We start from the raw sequence: 20,626 nt of genomic DNA, 5'->3' as shown, positions 1-20,626 counted from the left end.
ATTGTGGGAAGACCTTTGTGTGAGACCAAGTGTCATGCAGAGACAGCAAGAGAGAGACTGGGAATCAATTCCTTCTCCAAGGGTTTAATTAAAGTGTGGGGAAGTTTGCAATCTTATTCAGAAGTTAACATCTGAGCATAGATTTGAAGGAGGTAAGAGATGAAGCCATGTGGGTGTCAGACAGAAGCATTCCAGAGACAGGGAACAGCAGTGCAAAGGCCCTGAGGTAGGATTGTGTCTGGTTTGTTGGAAGAACAGAAAGGAAGCCTTTGTGGTGTGGCAGGAACTAAGGGAGTAGGCGGTGAGCAGAAGATAAGGTCAGAGGGAAGGGAGAAAGGTGGAGAGTGAGAACTACCTTGACATCTTGGAAAGACTTTGCCTTTTATTCTAGGTGAGTTGGGGAACCACTGGTGGTCTGAAAGCCAGAGAGTACATGATCAGGCTGACGTTTAACAGAATGCCTCTGTCTGCTGTGTTGGGAACAGACTGAGCGAGTAAGGGAGAAAGCAGGCAACTGCAGCTGACCAAAAGAGAGACAGGAGAGCTGAGATATTAATGGAGTGACCAGCAGCATCAGAATTACCAGGAGGCTTGGGAAAACAGATTGTTGGGCCCCAGCCCTGGAGCTGCTACCTGTTAGTATGGGCAGTGTCCAAGGAATTTACATTACAAGTTCCCAGGTGATGATACTGCTGGTCTGGGGGCCACACTTTGAGAACTTGTCTTTGTAGAATTTATGAAAACATTTGTTTATCAAAGTTCTCAAGGAAGCACATTGCTCGCTCCTGTGTCCCCAGTGCCTAGCGTGATGCCTGGCACGAGTCTTCATCGAGCTCAGGCTCTGGGCCAGGCTCAGTGCTATTGAATGAGGTTCATGAGGGTCCCAGGTTTGAACTGTTTGGAGGTAACTGGTGATGAAACTTTCACAGGAAGTGGTCATTAAAGGGAAAGGATTCCTTGTAATTACAATAACAACAGGTGTGACACCTACCCAGCGTCTGCCTAGATGTTTTACTTGTATCCCTCTCCAATTAAATCCTGTAAAAGCCCTGGGAGTCGGGCATTATCCCGGGATTTTTATGAATGAGAGAACCAAGGCTTGGAGAGTTTAATTTTCCCAAGACCACAGGATTAACAAGTACCAGAACCCAGCCAGGCCTGAGTGGGAGCTCTCTGCTGTTTACATCATAGGCCGCCTGAAGAAGTCACTGACAAGACCTAGTAATTAAAGAACCTCGAGAAGCTAGGAGTTTCATTCTTTGAGGACTGTGAGCTTTTTTAAAAGTGCAAAGAATATGCCATCCTTTAAAAAAATGCTTCCCATCTGAATTGAGATTCCTGTTCACACAACATGTTTTGAGCCTCCAGCCCTTCCTGGCAGAACCCTGGTAGCAGTGGCTGTCCCAACAGAAGTATTTTTGCTGACTTTTGTGGCTTAAAAGCCTTCTCTGATGGAGCACTTTTCCTCCCCTCTTCCTCTTCTCAGCCTCCTCCGGCAGGATGAAGGGTGTAAGATTTTGTGCTGAGGCGCTGAAGCTTGACAAATTGAGGCCAGCCTATCTCTAAATGGAATCCGTGTATCTTGCTAGGGAGGGAGAAAATCAAGTTCCAGCACTTCCCTCCTTATCAGCCTCTCCTTTTCCCTACCCTTCCCTGAGGATAAAAATAACCGCTTCCCAGGGCCTCACTGCGATGGAGCAACTGTGCCCCGAAGCCAGGCCTAGCTGTCAGAGCAGCTGCTCCCCGAGGCACGGCCCCGCGAGAGCCTTGGGGTCAGGACGGGGGCCTGTCCGCAGGGACGAGGTGTCCCAGGACAGGGCAGGGGCCCTTGGAGCCTCACCAAGAGAGGGGGCACTGGTGCAAGTTTGACCGCGATGGTGGGCGGCTCACAAAAATACATCAGGAGGCCCGGAAGTCCATGCACTGGCTGGCTCCACCGCCTTTAAGTACACGAGGTCTATCTGCAGTTCTTAACCTCTTTGAGGGCACAAGGACTCCCTAGAACAAATGATGACATACCACCTCTCTGTGTGCAATCAAGCATACACACAACACACAGAAACATGGACGTGGACACAAATACGCACGGAGACACATACACTTTTGCACACAGTTTCATATTATTGGAAGGCTGTCGAAGCCTGGTATGGACCACAGATTAACAACCCCAAAGGCAGGTTGATTATAGTGATGCAGAACGATTATAAAAAAAATAACAATTTGGCAGGGCGCGGTGGCTTACACCTGTAATCCCAGCACTTTGGGAGGCCGAGGTCAGTTGATCACGTGAGGTCAGGAGTTCGAGACCAACCCGGCCAACATGGTGAAACCCCGTCTCTACTAAAAATACAAAAAAATTAGTCGGGCATGGTTGCGGGCGCCTGTAATCCCAGCTACTCGGGAGGCTGAGGCAGGAGAATGGCTTGAACCTAGGAGGCAGAGGTTGCAGTGAGCCGAGATCGTGCCAGTGCACTCCAGCTTGGGTGACGGAGCAAGACTTCGTCTCAAAATAAATAAATAAAAATATAAAAATAAATAAAATTTTGTAACGTAAAAATAGGGTTAGTAAAGCGTGCTAAGATCTTTCTGGAAAACAAATATATGTAGTATAAATTCTAATAATAGATACGGAAACGATAAAGTTGATCACCGATGGTAAGATAAAGGATGATTTCTATTTATTTGAGTTTTCCCACTAAACAGGAAAGCATGCTGCTTTTTCGCAACCAGAACGGCCGCATCCAGGCGTTTCCGGGGACCTGGGGCGCCCACTGAGCTGCAGGCGCGGCCGGTGGCTCCAGCCTGGCCCGTCCGTCGGGAAAGGAGGGTTACAGACAATAGACAAGCAAACATTAGACGCAGTGACCGCGTGGGGCGGGGACCGGCTCTTGCGGAGAGGGTGACCCGAGCCCTTCGCCCGCCGAGGCACTTTAAAACCCCAGCGCGTTGCCCAGGCCGGCCCGCCCAGAGCGAAAGGTGCGTGCGCGCTCCCGGGGAGGCGGCGGCGCGCACGGGCGCGTCCCGCGGGCAGCCCCCAACTCCGGACGATGCAGCGAGGAGGCGGCGGCGGCGGCGCGCTCCGGAGGTCTGAAGCCACTGCTGGCTGCCACGGGCCGGCGGTGCGATGAGCTGGGCAGCCGCCCCCGGCTCGGGGCTGTGAGCGGCTCGGGGCCGGGGGTGGGCGGCGGTGCGGCGGGCGGCCGACGCTCCTCTTCGGCGGCGGCGGCGGCGGCCATGCGTGGGGCGGCGCGGCTGGGGCGGCCGGGCCGGAGTTGCCTCCCGGGGGCCCGCGGCCTGAGGGCCCCGCCGCCGCCGCCGCTGCTGCTTCTGCTTGCGCTGTTGCCGCTGCTGCCCGCGCCTGGCGCTGCCGCCGCCCCCGCCCCGCGGCCCCCGGAGCTGCAGTCGGCTTCCGCGGGGCCCAGCGTGAGTCTCTACCTGAGCGAGGACGAGGTGCGCCGGCTGATCGGTGAGTGGGGCCGCCGAGGCCGGGGCGGGCAGGTCGGGCCGGCTGGGGCAGCTTCCGGCCGCCGGCGGATCAGTCTGCGAGCCGTGGACCTCGGGCGAGTACCCTCCCCGCCCCCCGCGCCCGGATTCGCCTCGCGGCCCGGTCTCTGCCTGCCGTGCTGGCTGGGAGGTGTGGTCCCTGCCCGGTCCCCAGCTCTGGGTCAGCCTTCGTGCCGCCCTCGCTGCCCCGCCGCGATAGACCCAGATTCACCCCATCCCATCCTCCTCACTGCCTCCTTAGCCCTTCTCCCTAGAAGAGTCAGTCACCCTTACAACTTTTTTTCCTTGCTGCACGAAGTTTTTTTGACGCTTTCTATGTGTGTCACTCTAGGGCCCTCGATTTTGAATATCTCGAAATTCACGTTTTAGACTGAACTTGCAAACCCTTTGCTGTGGTTTTGATGCTCCAGTAGAGGCCACGCTCTGTGCTTACCCTTTTACAAAAAAAAAAAAAAAAAAAAAAAAAACGAGAGAGAAAGAAGGGGAGGTTATAAGGGCACCAAATGTTCGTGGCAGCCTCCAACTCTTGGGACGTAGATTTGGAGCATATGCTTAGATTCTAAGCATATTTTTAGTGAATGAATCGCCAGGTAGCAGACCTTTTTAGTTTCAATACCTTTTTGGTTTTTGCATTGGGTGTGTTGGGAGTTTGGACTGACTCTGTACTTCTGGGCCACTCTCCTACTTTTGAGTATCTTGAAGGGAAACAAGAACTTAGTCTTGGGTCGGTTTGTGGTTCCATTTACTTGCTTAGCTTTGTTGTTTGGGGAATTAATTTGAAAAATTGCTGGGGTCTTATGTTAGGACTTTGTGGATTCTGGAAATGACCCCTTAGAGGAAGATCTGACAGGAACGACCCCCCAAAAAGGAAGTCCTTGGTACCTAGACGTTTGCATTCTTTTGTTATTATGGCAGTATCTTTATTTCATCTGAAGGTGGTGCTTCTGAGTGTTTGAGGGGAAAAATTATTCTCTATTGCATCCATTATTTGTCAGTATTCTATTTTTTTTTAAGTAATAAGACTTTGTTGAGGTGTGTTGAGATTGACTCAGTGTAGAAATGGAATTACTGAAAGCAGACTCTTTAGACATTACATGTACGGATTTGCAGTTTTTAGCCAAAGAAGAATGCTCTTTTTATGAAGTCGTGCTCATTCTTAATCCTTCTTAGTCTAGCTGAGTTAGCTGAATGTAGTTTAGCTGAATTAAAACTCTACTTGGGGTAGTACTTGGAACACAAGACTAAGATTTAGGAAAAATAATACAAGACGACTCATATCACATTAATTTTAGAAATATTAACGTATTATGCATGGTTTTGTAAAGGCTTTTTGGTTAAAAGCACTTATATAGCTTGTGACTTTGTTTACATGGGTAAACAAAGTCAGAGGTGTAGGTAGGAGACAGAAGACAACCAGGGACTGACATTGAATTCCTGCCATATACCTGCCCCTACATGCTTTATACACATAATTTCTTCTAATTTTCTCGGGGCCCAGTGAGGTAGGTGGCATTATGCCTATTGTAGAGATGAGGAAAGTGGGGTTTTAAAGTAACTTGCTCAAGGTCACACAGTTAATTTTTTTTTAGACGGAGTCTCGCTCTTGTCACCCAGGCTGGAGTGCAGTGGCGTGATCTCGGCTCACTGCAATCTCTGCTTCCTGGGTTCAGGTGATTCACCTGCCTCAGCCTCCCAAGTAGCGACCACTTCTGGCTATTTTTTGTATTTTTAGTAGAGACAGGGTTTCACCATGTTGGTCAGGCTGGTCTTGAACTCCTGAGCTCGTGATCTGCCCGCCTCGGCCTCCCAAAGTGCTGGGATTACAGGTGTGAGCCACCGCACCTGGCCTAGTTCATATTTTTGAAAAAAATGAAACAGTGTTGACATAGGCTGCAAAGTTTTATCGAATGAAATGAAGATTTTGTCTGTAGAAGTTTGATTATGTCATGGTGGAAAATAAATCATTGCTAATTAGCACTTGAGTTATATATTTGTTACCTTATTCAAAGGTTGGCCTGGAACTAATTTTCTTAGCAGTATTTGCAGCAGAGGAAGCTCCTGTTTGATGAGCATCCAATTTATGCCCAGAAATGCTGTTGCTGGGAGGGTAGGAAGCATTGTTTCAATTAACTCCCTTGTCTATCCCCGGGGGCGAGAGAGACTTCTAGTAGTATTTTCTCTAGTGCAAATAGGGTTGACCTGTTACAGAGGATCTCTAGTCACTCCATCCTGCCAGATTCAGGTTCGTTGTTTCCATCCCTTCCCATCTCCCTCATACATTCTACCTTTAAAATAATTCCTTGGCTCCTCCAGGTAGGGAAGAGCCAAGTGGGTAGGACTGAGATGTGTACTGAGATGTGTACAAGGCACTCCGAATTCTCAGAATGCAGTCTCTCACAGAAGCTGTTATGGTACTTAAGGCTTCTTGGAATAGTAGCTTTGCACCGTATTTTAGAATCACTACAGATTTTGTGCCTTCTGAACGCTGGCATAGGAAACGAACCATTATTTTATAATATTTTTAAGACAGTTTAGAGTTCCAAGTAAGAAACTTATAAATGAAGTTGATAGTGACAACTTTATAAATTGAACTAATTACCCTTGATATGAGAATAAATTGTTTTAATCCAGTTAATATATGCATATAGTTTTAAGAGAACCAAAAGGCTTTTTTTTTTTTTTGAGACGGAGTTTCGCTCTTGTTGCCCAGGCTGGAGTCCAATGGTATGATCTTAGCTCACCGCAACCTCTGCCTCCAAGGTTCAAGCGATTCTCCTGCCTCAGCCTCCCCAGTAGTTGGGATTACAGGCACGCATTACCATGCCCAGCTAATTTTGTATTTTTAGTAGAGACGAGGTTTCTCCATGTTGGTCAGGCTGTTCTCAAACCCCCAACCTCAGGTGATCACCCACCTCAGCCTCCCAAAGTGCTGGGATTACAGGTGTGAGCCACCGCATCCGGCTTAAAAGACTTTTGACAAACACAGCAGGCTCTTGCTTTTGTCTTTTTTATCCCTCAGGCTCTACTTTCCAGGGGTAGCTACTACCTCAGCTAGGTCTGTTTATTTTTTCTTCCTCTTTTTTTACTTTCGTCATTCTAAATCAATGTAGAATAAGTCTTTGACTTTCTAGTATCATAACTGAGCTCTTTCTCATTTCTCTCTTAAATCCTCCAATGTAGTTACGTAACTTTTTTGTAAAAATAGCAGTATTTACATTATTGTGTACACAGGTATTGCTAAATAGTGACTTATGATTTTTTTTATACATTTTTGTTTTTCCCACAGCAAATAATTGCATTTTATCAAAATTGCGTTTTGATTCGTTACCTATTTATCTTTGGCTGTGTTCCCTCAACTACTCCAAGAAGTATGTTAAATGCCTTTTGATTTTTTTTTTTTCCAGGTAGCACATTAAATCATCTATCAGTGCCACTTGGTTTCCTCTTAGAGACTTCTTGGTCTGGAGCATTCCATCCTCTTGCTCCAATCTAGATAGTACGATTATTTTTTCTGGGACTTCCTGTTACTTCTTTCCTGTCTTGGAACCTCTGTTTTTTAGATCTCCTGTCTTCCTTTTTCTTGGTTTGCTTCATTTTGCTACTATGTATGTATCCTCAGTAGCTTCTTAGGAAGGAATGATGGGAGATAAATTACTTGAGGCCTTGAATGTCTGAATGTATCTATCCTGTCCTCATACTTTATAGATGGTTTGGCTGAATTTAAAATATTAAGTAGAAATACATTTTTTCATAATTTTGATGGCATATTCACAGTTTTCTGTCTTAAGGGTTTTTGATGAAAAGTCCAAAGCCATTCTGATGCCTCTTTTTTTCTGTTTTTTTGAAGCTCAGGTTCTTTTTCTCTGGCATTCTGAAGTTTTATAAGTTTTTGTGTGGTTGGTTGGTTGGTTCTTTCCTTCCTTTCTTCCTTTTCTTTCTTGTATTACCTTAGTGGGTCCTTTCAATCTAGAGACTCTTTTTAGTTTTCAGAAATGCTTTTTTTTTTTTTAATAATTCCCACCCTTTATTTTCTCTCTCTCTGTGTGTGTGTGTGTGTGTGTGTGTGTGTGTGTGTGTGTGTATTTCTTTCTGAGATGTCTGTTGGTTTGGTTGTTGAACCCACTACAAATGATCTTTAAATTTTCTTAACTAATCTCATGTCTTACGTATTTCTTTGTACTGGAAGGAGTGGGAGGGGGGGAATGGTTCTCAATTTTAATGATCATGTTTTTAAATTTTAGAATCTTTTTCTGTTTCCATTTCATTGCATCTTATTTTATGGATGTATTATCTTTACTTATCTCTGATGTGTGTATTTTTATTTTTTCTTTGTGTTTAATATATTTTTAATATTTCTTCTGTTTCCTCCAGTGTGGTTATTCATTTCAGGGATCTTTTCTTTGTTTGTTTAAGTCATAAATATCTGGTGATCCTTGACTGTCTATAATGAAGAAAAAGATCCTGAGGAGCTGATTGCAGAGGAGAGAACATGTGTGTATTGGTGGTCTAGTGACTTGTGAGTTCAGGTGGACTTTTCATTGGGAGTCTGCCCCGAATATCAACACCTTTACATCTCGTTTGGGGCCAGTGTTCACAATGAAGAAATCATCATCTCCTGCCTCTGGTATGCTTGGTGATATGCCAGCTGCCAGGGTTTGGGTTACCTGGCTGAGGGAGGGATGGAGGCTGTAGCCTTCGACTTCTGGCTACAGTTCTCCTGTCACTGTGATTCAGTTTCTTCAGAAAAAACTTTGGGTTTCCTGCTGGAACTGGGGATCCAAAAGCTTTGAACACCTCTTTCGGTGGCTCCCCCCTTGTCTAGGCTAAGCCTCACATCAGCCTTTGGCATCTCCTTGGTGCCTCAAGACCTGAGCCTCTTGGAGGTCCTGAGGGGCAGTGACCATTCCTTCAAGTACTTTGCCATCTTGCAAAAGTTTGTTTAAAAAAGCATGTTGTCTTTCCTTTTCTGTTTGTCCTTATGGTTTGATGTCTTTGTGATTTTTTTTTTTTAAACTATCATTTTAGAGGAATTTTGGAAGGAAATGGAGGTAAGGGATTATGGTCATTCCACAATGTGTAAATGGCAGTTAGGGTTTGGGTTTAACTATTGAAGATGACGTGTGGCAGTCTTTTTATATGAACAATATTACGAGTAGTTAATGGTGGTTGTAGTAGTAGTTGACACTTTTAAAAGTGCTGTCTTTTGTCTGTGTGGGGCATAGAGGTCATCCCTGTGTTATGTACTGTCATTTCCATTTTATAGATGAGTGTTAGTCTGCTCAGGCTGCTGTAACAAAGTACCATAAATTGGGTGGATTGTAAACAACAGAGATTTATTTCTCACAGTTTTGGAGGCTGGGAAGTCCAGGATCAAGGCTTTGGTAGATTTGATATCTGCTGAGAGCCCTCTTCCTGGTTTATGGATACTGCTTTCTCCCTGTGTTCTCACATGGTGGAAGGGGCAAACGAGCTCCCCTGGGTCTTTTTATAAGGGCTCTAATCCCATTCATGAGGACTGCTCTTATGAGCTAATCACCTCCCAAAGGGCCCTACCTGCTAATACCATCCCTTAGTGGTTAGGATTTCAACATAGAAATTTTGGGGTGACACAGAGAAATGAGAAAACAATAATCTTAGAGTAGGTATGTATTAATGACTAGCCTGGTTTTTTGGTAGTAGTAGGGCACACGGTCCTGATGGAAGTGTATAAGTTCTGAAACACCGAAAGCTTCAGAAGCTTTTAAACTCTGGTTGGCCTTCCTGTGTTCCTGGGCCCTGGTTCATCGCTTGCATTTACAAGCCTGTTACTTGCATAACAGGCTGCAATGTAGGCATTCATTTCTGCATTTTACTGATGAGGACCCTGATTCAGGGCCTTTTGGACAGTGAGTAGAAGGCCAGGTCTTGACTCAGTCCTGCCTGAGACCTGAATTCATACTGTCTCTTTATCAGCTCTGGAGGAGTGCAATTAACCAAAAACTCAAAGAGTAGAACCGCAAGCCTCCTGCCACAGGTGCTTGTTTGTGGTCTTTATTATTATGCTAATTATTCTTGCATCCTCCCATGTTCTTTAATTGATAATTTTCATTGTACTGAGCTCTGTGGAATTCCGGAGCCTGTGAAGGTGGCATATGGCTGGGCAGTGCCAGAAGCTTGGGAAGAACATGCTGGTGGGTGGGTGGGGAATGGTATAAACTGGTTATGCCAACAGTGGTGGTGGTGATAGGGGTCAGGGGGACTTTTGGGAAGAGGCCCCATCTCCCACCAGTTAGAAATTAACTTTGGATAACTTGCTTCTCCTCTTAAAATAAATATCTTCTGGAAAAGTCAAGAATGTTCACATTTTATTTAAAATCAAGTCAATACTAGTTGAAATCACTGTGTCCCAAATCAGTCCAGAAAATTTTTTTGAAGCTAAACCAAGTACCATATATTGTGGTAGAAAATGACAATTCAAAATTATTACACTCCTTTCCCTGAAGATCTCAGAATTTTGTAGGGGAGACTTGCATTTATGACTGTAACAGAGATAAGAGTTATATTGCTGGTTGACATAAGTTATTGTAGGAGCACTTACTTTTGACTGTGGAAAGGGCGGAGGGGAGACAGGCTTAGAGAGTTTAGGAAACTTGTCCCAGGGAAAAAAAAGACATTTGAGCCTCATCTTGAAGGATGAATTTGATAGGCAGAAAAGAGCAGTTCATACCAGGCTGAGAAAGTAGTGTGAACAAAGACATAGAGGGTGGAAGCAGCTGTGTGAAATTGTGGGGTAGGAAAAATCTAATGTGGCTGAGGTGAAAAATTAGCAAAGCCATGGAGCGCCACAGGATAAAGCTGGAAGGTAGGCTGAGGTTAGAGTAGGAATTTGAACTCTTACAGGTGAATTCTTCAGTGAGCTGCTAAAGAATGCAGACTAGGAGAGTGCGCAGTCAGGTCTGGGTTATAGGGAAGATAACTTTGGCCCCAGTGAAAAGGATGGCTTTGGAGAATGAAATGCTGGATCTGGGAAATGAGATAGAGCCAACCTTGTGATGATAAGAGGGATCAACTAAGGCAGTTGAAGGGGTGGGATGGATTTGTGAGGAATTTGGTGAGTTTGGAGAAGACTTAGTAGAAGAGACTTTAGGGCTAAAGAAAGGGGAGGAGTCACAGAGGAATCTAGGGTTTCAGATTTGGGCAACTGAACCAAAGGACCCTTTCCTTTTGGGAGAAGTGGTTGGTCAAGGGAAAGAAAAAGGAGATGAACCATGTATTCCTCTCCTCCCAGCACCCCTCTCTCCTAAATCTCAGAGCCCATGCTTGGTGGGGAGGAGGGGTGGAGGGTTGAAGGTGTCCTCTGCCCATGAGTCTGGCATAACCTGCCAGAGGGCCCAGATCCTGGGTGGGTTTTTGGGAGGTTAGCACTCTGCAGCAAATCCTTAACCCTAGGCGTTTTGGTGGAGTTGGTATTTATTTGAATCCATGTGTTCTTCATTGGGAGACAGGCAGAGACATTGTGCAATTGTGGGTTTGAGGGTTGTTTTTTTTCCTCATGCTACACATGTGAGAGAACTCTATCCAATTATGGCTAAACCTGTCCCCTGTGAGTCACATCCTGAGTTGACTGGTCAATTCCAAAGGTGCTGCCTAAAATGCTGTTTGGATTTTAAGAATCACTTTTGGGACAAATCAAACATGTGAGTATTTATTCAGGCACCTGAGTTGAGAAGTTCCATAGCATTACTTTTGGTGTTTTGATGCAGTTACGCCAATGTTCTGAAAAATCTTGCCAGCTACACATCCTAAAGCAAAACAAAAACTTGTACATGAAACAGAACCATTAGCTACTCTAAAATTATGTCACACTTAAAGGTATACATTTTTGTGCGTTGTTGATGTAAATCAAGTGCAATATTTTCTAATAAAAATTTTATTAAACAGCATTCATTTGTGAAGGTCCTCTTAAAATGTGCCAAAATAAACGTGTGTGTATTGCTCAGTTACATAATAAACAGTTGTTGAATGATTCTTTTTGTGTGTTCAGCAGTGATAATGCTGAGTGGATTTCATAGGTCTCATTCTTATCTTTTTTTTTTTTTTGAGACGGAGTTTTGCTCTTGTCACCCAGGCTGGAGTGTAATGGCATGATCTCGGCTCACTGCAACCTCTGCCTCCTGGGTTCAAGCAATTCTCCTGCCTCAGCCTCCTGAGTAGCTGGGATCACAGGCGTCCACCACCATTCCCAGCTAATTTTTGTATTTTTGGTAGAGATGGGATTTCAGCATGTTGGCCAGTCCAATCTTGAACTCCTGACCTCAGGTGATCCACCCACCTTGGCCTCCTTTCAAAGTGCTGGGATTACAGGCGTGAGCCACCTTGCCCGGCCTCATTCTCATTCTTATATAAATTTTAAGCTGGAATAGACAGCACACAAGTCTCTAGTTAGGGATCACCTGTAATTTAGGGAGGAGGAGGAAGAGCGTATCTTGCTGTATGCCAGGTACTTTACATATGTTCTCTTTTATCAACCATAGGAAGTCGGTGGCATTGACTGTTTTTTGTTTGTTTGTTTTTAAACAGATAAAGCTGAGATGCTGAGGTTGTGGGCAATTAACAGAATTTGCTGTAGGTCACAGAGATGTGTGGGGCTATGTGACTCCAAAGTGCGTGCTTTCTCTACTGTGCTGCCTTTGAAGGTTGACAGTTGACTTAGTCTTTAACCAAAATCATCTGAGAAGCTTTAACAAACTACAGATTCCTTGACCTACCCTGAGCAATTTGTTGAATTGATCTGAGATGGGGCTCAGGTAAATTAACGTTTTGAATGCCATGTTTAATTAATTACAGGAGGTACAGGTTTTCCACATTTGAACGTCTCTGAAATCAGAACCATGTTATAATCAGTGGGGAGAGTCATCAGTTAATAGCTTTTTTCTTTCTTAGTGGCACAAAAAATAAGGATGTACTTTAGATTAAATGAAATATGATATTATAAAAAGGTGATACTGTAAAGGGAACTTAAATACATAGTTTGTCACCTTTCTTTTTTTTTTTTTGAGATAGAGTCTTGCTCTTTCTCTCAGGCTGGAGTACAGTGGTGCAATCTCAGCTCACTGCAGTCTCTGTCTCCCAGCTTCAAGCGATTGTCGTGCCTAAGGCTCCTGAGTAGCTTGGGACTACAGGCGTGCACCACCACGCGTGGCTAATTTTTGTATCTTTTTTTTTTTTTTTTTGGTAGAGATGGCGTTTCACCATGTTGGCCAGACTGGTCTCGAACTCCTGACTTCAAGTGATTTCCCTCCCCCACCAACCCTGTCTGGGCTTCCCAAAGTGCTGGGATTACAGGTGTGAGCCACCATACCAGGCCTCCACCTTTTTTATGTGCATATGCATGTGTTTGTCACAACTTTCAGAATTGTAAAATTCACTGGTGGTATTTATTATTTGCTTACAGCAATAGCTGTGTAGTAATGCCCTTGCAGGGAAATCATAAAATGAATGAGATATTGTCATTAGATTAAGAGCAATAGCAAGGTTACTTTTCAGCCAAGAAGCTGCAGGCAAGGAGAAATGTCAGTGGTTCTCAGCCTTTTTTTGTGAAAGCCTTAGGCCCTTTCCCTAGAAAAAGGCATGAATGTCCACACATACTAAAATTTGTATACTGTGCTAGGACCTCTAGACTTTTGGGGCCTTTGAGGGACTCCTGATGAAAAGCTTAATGGGTACACCTGAGTGTCACAAAAACTGGTATATGTCATATTCTGTTTTACATCCTAAGATCTGACCTCCTACATGAATTTTTTTGAAAATTTGCATATATTAAGATTCACTCTGTTGAAAAGTTATGTAGGTTTCGACAAATGCATAGTGTCCTATATCCACTACAGTATCATAGACAGTAGTTTGCACCTTTAAAAAGTCCCCTGTGAATGGGGCATTTGTATTTATAAATACTCCCTCCCTTATATTTTAAATAAGGTGCTTTAAAAATGTATTTATTATGGAACATTTCAAAAATTCAAAATAAGGCATAATAATATAATGAATCTCTGTATACCCGTCATCCAGCTTCAGCAGTTCTCAACTCATAGCCAATTCTGTTTCATCTCTACCACCTTACCCCTACTCCACTCATTTGCCCTCACTCTCCTTATCCTCTACTTAGATTATTTTGAAGCAAATCTAGACATAATTTCATAAAAATATTCCAATATGTATATCTGAAAGAAATTCTTAAAAAATCTAAAATAACCATTATTGCACATTATTAAGAAATTAAGAATTTATAAATATCAAATATCTAAGCTGTTGAGCTTTTCCTGATTTATAAATATGTAAATGTATATGTAGAGACTCTTCTTGCCTACGACCTGGATCCACTCTTATCCCTGCCCCTCCCTGCACCACTCAGTTCCCTTGGTGCCAGACTCCTTCTCACCCTGGAGTCTACATTAGATGGCACCTCTGCCTTGCGTTCTTTCCCCAAATCTTTACATGGCTGGTACTTTCTAGATCTCAACTTAAAATGTCAATTCCCCAGAGAGGCTCATCTTCCTAGGGTTGATCCCCAGTGCCTCTCTGTGCTATCACACTGTTTTAAGCATCTGATACTTTTTTGGTTGTTTCCATCTCCTTTAGTGAAAGTTCTGTTTGAATAGACACTTTTTAGGTTGTTCCACTTTCTATTTTTAGCACCTAAAACAGTATCTGACATGTAGTAGGTTTTCATTAAAAGTGGAACAAATGAGTAAACAAGTGAATCATACTTACAAAAAAATTCACTATCCTGTGCCTTACTGGAGTCATCATTCTGTTGATCATTTCCCATGGCCTGCTTAGTTATTATCCAAAAGGGAAATTAGACTGAAGCTATACTTACTAATGGAAGTTTACATATGTTAATTTTTTATAGCTGCTTTTCTTTTCTTTTTTTTCCCCCTTTTTGAGACAGGGTCTCTCTTTGTTGCCCAGGCTGGAGTGTAGTGATGCAGTTACGGCTCACTGCAGCTTTGATCTCCCAGACTCAAGTGATCCTTCTGTCTCAGCCTCTAAATAGCTGGGACTACAGGTGTGAGCTACCATACCCCACTAATATAAAAATTTTTTTTTGTATAGATGAGGTCTCCCTGTGCTGCCCAGGATGGTCTGAAACTTCTGGGCTCAAGGGATCCTCCCACCTTGGCCTCCCAAAGTGCTGGGTTTACAGGTGTGAGCCACTATGCCTGGTCTTGATAACTTATTTTCTTTGGAGTTGCCTAATTTGCCTCTCCCATTCCCTTGCTGTCTCTGGGTAAGGCGCCTCCCATGTCGACTTCCATAGCTCCATACCCTGCATAAGCAGACCTGTATCACTGCACCCATCATATTTTGTCTCTCCCCTACTGCACCGAGGCTACCTTATGGCTTGGCACAGAGCAGTCTCTCAATAGACTGTTGGCCCACGCTACAATTGGAGGATGTGAAGTATTCAAGAGAGATTCCGGCAAAAGCCTTTATCAGTAATGAAAAGCTAGGAAATACAATTTCTAATTTTTTTTCCCCAAAATGCATAACCTGCTGTCCTATCCAGTCTATTTTCCATCTTATATACAGTATAGTTTTCAGCCCTAGCAATTTGACTTGGGTCTTTTTGTATTTTCCATGATTCTACTTAACTTTTTGACCATGTGGAGTACAGGTATAATAGTTGTTTCAGTGTCCTTGCTTGTATTCTAACATTTGTGCCTGTTCTGTGTTGATTTTGACGACATATCATGTTTACTTCCTGAAGTGGCACAGTTAGGAAAAGTTAGTGCCTGCAGATTCCTGGCTTTTCCTTGGGAGGAACAGGAGATTCCCTTCCATGTCTTCTTGAAGCTGATTTCTAAACCACCTATCAGGACCAAAAGGGTAGGCTTACCTGCTTTTCTTTAGGCAGAAAGAAGGCAGTCTGAAGGACGGAGGGGAAGAAGGGGTATATTTATGTTGTCTGCTGTTGTTGGTCATGCATACGTTCTTTCTCTGGAAAGCTCTCTCTAATCCTCCTTTCTGTGTATGAACATACACTCTCAAGACAGTTCTATCAAGACACTTAGGGTTGCAGGACAAATATATGAGGAAATGCTGAAGAATGTGGCAGAGAATTACACGAAAAATCATATTTAATCCACAGATTATTGCTTGAACAGCTATGGGATTGAAGATTTACATGCTTATTCAACTATGGGGAAAGGATGCCCCTGTTCTACAGTCTAATATTTTAATTCCTTGTCTTATAATGTAGTTAAACATTAGGTCTCAGCTAATTTTCTAGGCATAATATGACCACAGCTAGATTTATTACATTCTGATGAACAAACTGTTATTTTATCGATTTCAGCTTGTTACTTTCCATAACCTAAGAGCATTTGAAATAAGAGCTCCTTGTTTACTTTCCTTTTAGCATTCATTAAAATGTATTCAGTGGTTTAATACATGTTAAGTGATATTGGTTTTTTCTCTGATTAATGGCTCATATTACCACTGTCCTCAGAATCTAGAAGATTATCTTGACTAAATGAATTTTTACTTAAGGTTTAAATGGCATATGGAAACTGTGGATGATATAATAAAATAATAGTGTTTTGGCTGACACTAGGAAACCATGGATGATATCATAGAGTAATAGAATTTTGCGGCTGAGGAGAGGGACATTAACATCATCTGGTTTAACTTTTTTGTTTTGTAGTTGAGAAAATTGTTGTCTAGAGAGGGCGGTTAAGTAATTGGTTGCCAAAGGTCATTCAGCTACCTACTGGTGAAGCCAGGGGAAGGGAAGTAAGAACTGTGAACTCTGCTTTAGTTCTCTTTCTATGACATCACTTTTGTTTTTTTGCCTTAACTAATGGTTCTTGACATTTTCTTTAAAGTATCATTTTCTTTAAAACCCATTTTCTTTAAAACCCATCTTTGATGTAGTTGACTTTTATCGACAGCCAGCCATTCATGCATCTAATATTTAAGTAGTTACAAGTAAACTAAGACCCCAGCCTTGTTTGTGAGATGTGCAAGGTAATAGGAAGATGGACATTTGAAACAACTCCCTGAAATATGTTTTGTTAAGTGCTATAAAGGTGGCTTTTAAAATAAAGAGAGATGGTTTGCTGATTTAGCACGAATGAACCATATGTACAGCTTTGAGAAACCAATAGTCAACTTTTAAAATCATTTGGAAAAAATTTTTGAACTGTTGAATTATTAGAACTTGAGTTAGGCCAGTTCATGTGGATCACAGACCTTGAAATAAATTTGAACTTAAAATCGTCTAGGGAAAAATGAATTTTTTTTGATAAGCCTTAAGAGTTTTGCAAGAATAACTTTGGTTTTTTAGCTTTGAATTTGAGTTGTTTAAAAATAAAATTTTGAAAAAATGCCATGCTTTCTAACAAGAGAGCAACATTTTTCCTTTGCTGGAATTGGCAATGGGAAATTTAAGTCTGGTTAATGTAACTGAACAGCTGAAGTATTTTCATCCTAAATCAGAATTTAAAAATTCTGTGCATTCTAATGACAAAATGCTACCTCTTTAGTTCGTGGCTGTCCATTCTTGTTCTTGTCTGCTTTCCAGCACAGCCCCCTTGTCTCTTGGCATCCTTGTCAAAAATTAATCAGCCCAAAATATGTAACTTTCTTTCTGGACTCTCAGTTCTCTTCTGTTGGTCTACATGTCTGTCATGCCAGTACTACACTGTTTTGATTAAAGTAGCTTCGTGGTGATCTTTGAAACCAGGAAGTGTGAGTCCTCCAACTATGTTCTTTTTAAAAATTGTTTTGGCTATTTTGGCCTGCTCACAATTTCATATTAATTTGAGGATCTGCTTTTACTCTTGTGCAAAAATGGGAGTCAGAAGTTTGATAGGGATTTTAGTGAATCTGTAGCTCACTTGGGTAGTATTGTTATATTAACAGTGTTAAGTCTTCCAGTCCATGAACATGGGTGTTTTTCCATTTATTTAGGTCTTTAATTCTTTCAGCAATGTTTGTAGTTTTCAGTGTACAGTTATTCCTAAGTATTTTATTCTTTTGGATGCTATTGTAAATGGAATTGTTTTCTAATTTCCTTTTTGGATTGTTCATTGAGGGACCAGCTCTTATTATGCATTATACCTCTCCTTTCCTACTTGGATTGTTTTGCCCACTACAGTGTCTCAGCATTCTCTTTTCTTTTGATTTCTATGATCTTTACTTACATAACCTTTGACTCATTAGGATTGTTGGAGTCACCAGACCTCTACAAAATGATACTCAGTGACTTTATTTCCCTGACTCTAATTTTCATTTATTCCCTCCCTTTATCCCAAAGGGATATTAGAACCTACCCTGATTTTTTTTTTCCTTTGACCATGCGGGTGTCCCAGTTCCCAGTTTTCTTTTTTTTCCCAAATAAGGCACTCATTGGAATGACCACCTTAGAAGTGATCTGTCTCAGCCCTTGGAATTTCCTAACTATAGCACACCTACCTTCCTTCTCAGTCACTCCCTTCTATTGGAACCAGGCTCTGTTTCCTAGTCTCATAAAGAGTTACCCTGCTCCTGGCTTGCCACAGAACTGGTTCCTTAAAGCATTACTGAATAGATTGTTTCCCTCACTGCCTCTCTAATCATTTCTCACTACTCACTTAACCTCTGTGATGCTTAACACTCCCTGACAGTAATAACCCCTGCTGTCCACTGTCCCTGCTTTCAGACTGCATTTGATTGCTGTTGTCGTATTTGAAACACTAATAATTAATAGTAATTAGAAACAACTAGGTTATCTAGCCCCTGTCTTTATGTGTCTTTTGCTTTTCTCTTTTAATTTTTTTCAAGCGTATGATGGGGAAGGAAAGAAAAAGGAGTTAAAATTGAGAGATAAAGTATGATATTCTCTATAGATTTCATCTTTTTCTAAAAGTAAATTTGTTTAAAATTCTTTTATTTCATTAATTTTATTTCCTGATTATTAGGGTAAAATATACTCATTTATAGACTATTTGGAAAATATACAAGAAAAGATATAGACTGGAAAATATACAGGAAAAGATATAGACTAGAAAATATACTCATTATAGACTATTTGGAAAATATTTGTAAAGAAGAAAAATGCCATATATTAACCATGCATTGACAATTTTTGATGAATGTATTTTCAATTTTTTTTCATGTTCTTGTTTTTTCTTTATGTAGTTGAAACCATTTGTGATGGTTAAGAATATAGGTAACTCTTTGAGATAGATGGTACTTAAAAATGTGTATGTTCAGTTTTGCCTCACTCCCTGCCTTCTTACCATTGCCCGGTGGTCATATTGTGGCCTATACATTTTTTCCTTTAAGAAATTGATTATGCTTTTCCTTATAGCTGATCACATTTTGTAAATATCTTACAGATGATTTGAAGTAAGTCACATTTCCTATAGAGTACCATCTTGATAGATGTATTAATTATGGCTGTACCTATAAACTATATCTTTTATATGCTAATATCAGTCATAGACTGATAGTTTTGTACCATGGTCATACTTATATTTGGTTCTCTTCATATTTCTACTATTTTGGTTTTTAAAATTCTTTATAGTTTGATACAGAACAGTGATGATTCATGATTATTATACCTTCATCCTGAAGCATAGCTCTTCTCAGTATAAAACAGTTCTCTATCCCCTATTAAAAACAAAAGTTTTATTAATCTCTCAGTATGTTTTAGAGAAACTTTTTGGGAAGAATACATAATTGCGGTGTTTCCTGAGGCCTTCTGAGTACTATTTTTGCATATGATGAGAGTTTGTCTAGAAATAGAATTCCTTGCCTGCTTCCTCTTCTCCTGAAAATTAAAGCTTTGTTCCATTCCCTGTCATCTTCAGGGTTTTCCATGTTATTCTCATTCAGATAGCATGGGTAACCCAATAATTTTATTTCAGTCCCATTGTCAAATGTTGCATGTGGAAATTTTTTCCAAGTTTTGGTCTTCTCTTTTGGTCTTTCTCTTCAGTTTATAGTACTTTGCCAAATTTTGCTCTTTGGTTTAACTGGGTATTTTAAGGGAAAGTTGGAGGAAAGTGTTTTAATCATTAATAATTTATCATTACTGGTGTTAACATTAATATACCAAAGATAATGTCGTTACAAATGTGATTTTCTAAATTGAATTTTATTTTTGAGGGCCTTTTCTGTATCTCTTATCAACCTTCATGGGTTATTTTAGACAGTAGTTGGTTGTATTTTTGTATTAATGAGTTGTCGCAGCTGTATGCATATTTCTTTAAACATGTTTTTGAACACTTTTATTGTTTTTCCAGCTTAACTTTCATAGAAAATTTAAGAGAAGAAAAAGAATAAAAGCATATAATAAAAATCATCCATAATCCACTATTTATATTCAACCACTGTTAACATATTTTGCTATTTTCCCTTTTTTTAAAGTGGAACACAACATGCATATGAATATATATTTAACTTTGATTCACCGGATGTTTATTGAATACCTGTTACATGCATGAACTATTCTAGGTGCCAGACATTGTTAGAAATTTGCTGTATACAGTTTGTATGTTGTAATTTGCATTTACTGTTATATTCTAAGCAAAACTCATTTTACTACAGTATTTATAACAGTTTTGTTCATGGCTTCATAGTCTTTTTTCAGTGTTTTTTAGTCACTTATTTGGTCATTAAAACCTGTCTTCAAAGAAGCCTAATATGTTAGAGAGATGAACAGGGAGCAGTTTAGTTGAGAGGATATCATGACTTGAGGTATCACCTCTCTCCTCCAAAGAAAGATAAACTGTTGAAAACTGTTGTTCTATCTTCTGGATGTATTACAGTTTATTAATTATTGCTCTGTTGCTGGTAGTTTATATTGTTACTTTTCTTCAGTTTTAATTTTTATTAATATATTTGTACATAAAAATTTGTGTCTGTCTTTCGTTTCCTTAAGATGGATTTTAGTAATGGAATTATTGGGTCAAAGAGTATAAATATTTATAAAACTTTGTATAGAGTCACAAATTACGTGTCATAACCTGTGTAACAGTCAGTATTATTTTTAAATAATATAAACATTTCTGTTATAACATCAAATGTATTCCATAAAAACCCTTCAAGTTTACCTATTCACTAAAAATAACAGGATTTATGAGAAAAATAAGGT

The 20,626-nt window shown here is 41.2% G+C and overlaps 1 protein-coding gene across 3 annotated transcripts in view, besides 3 other annotated features; it reads left to right on the top strand.

Moving 5' to 3' along the window:
• Positions 2,856-3,675: a silencer, noted in NCBI's record as "silent region_14752". NCBI's record gives its function as "represses an Ori minimal core promoter by ATAC-STARR-seq in GM12878 lymphoblastoid cells {active_cell/tissue: GM12878}" and the evidence as "EXISTENCE:reporter gene assay evidence [ECO:0000049][PMID:35858748]".
• Positions 2,856-3,789: a biological region, named in NCBI's record as "H3K27ac-H3K4me1 hESC enhancer GRCh37_chr3:133968944-133969720".
• Positions 3,011-3,789: an enhancer, noted in NCBI's record as "H3K27ac-H3K4me1 hESC enhancer chr3:133968944-133969720 (GRCh37/hg19 assembly coordinates)". NCBI's record gives its function as "activates a minimal SCP1, AML or CMV promoter by ChIP-STARR-seq in naive H9 embryonic stem cells {active_cell/tissue: H9 hESC(naive)}" and the evidence as "EXISTENCE:reporter gene assay evidence [ECO:0000049][PMID:30033119]".
• The window catches only part of RYK (receptor like tyrosine kinase), a 93,727-nt gene continuing 76,130 nt past the window's right edge, over positions 3,030-20,626 (top strand). For all 3 annotated transcript variants that reach the window (XR_007095716.1, NM_002958.4, NM_001005861.3), the window contains exon 1: positions 3,030-3,466. Coding sequence is in view for 2 of the 3 variants with exons in the window: in NM_002958.4 (NP_002949.2) it covers positions 3,235-3,466 (232 nt within the window). In the remaining variant the exon portion in view is untranslated. The remainder of the gene's footprint in view (positions 3,467-20,626) is intronic.

The sequence above is a fragment of the Homo sapiens genome, chromosome 3 (assembly GCF_000001405.40).
Source record: "Homo sapiens chromosome 3, GRCh38.p14 Primary Assembly".
Taxonomy (NCBI): Eukaryota; Metazoa; Chordata; class Mammalia; order Primates; family Hominidae; genus Homo; species Homo sapiens.
Note: the sequence above shows the minus strand (reverse complement) of the source record. Positions and strands in the feature narration are given on the sequence as shown.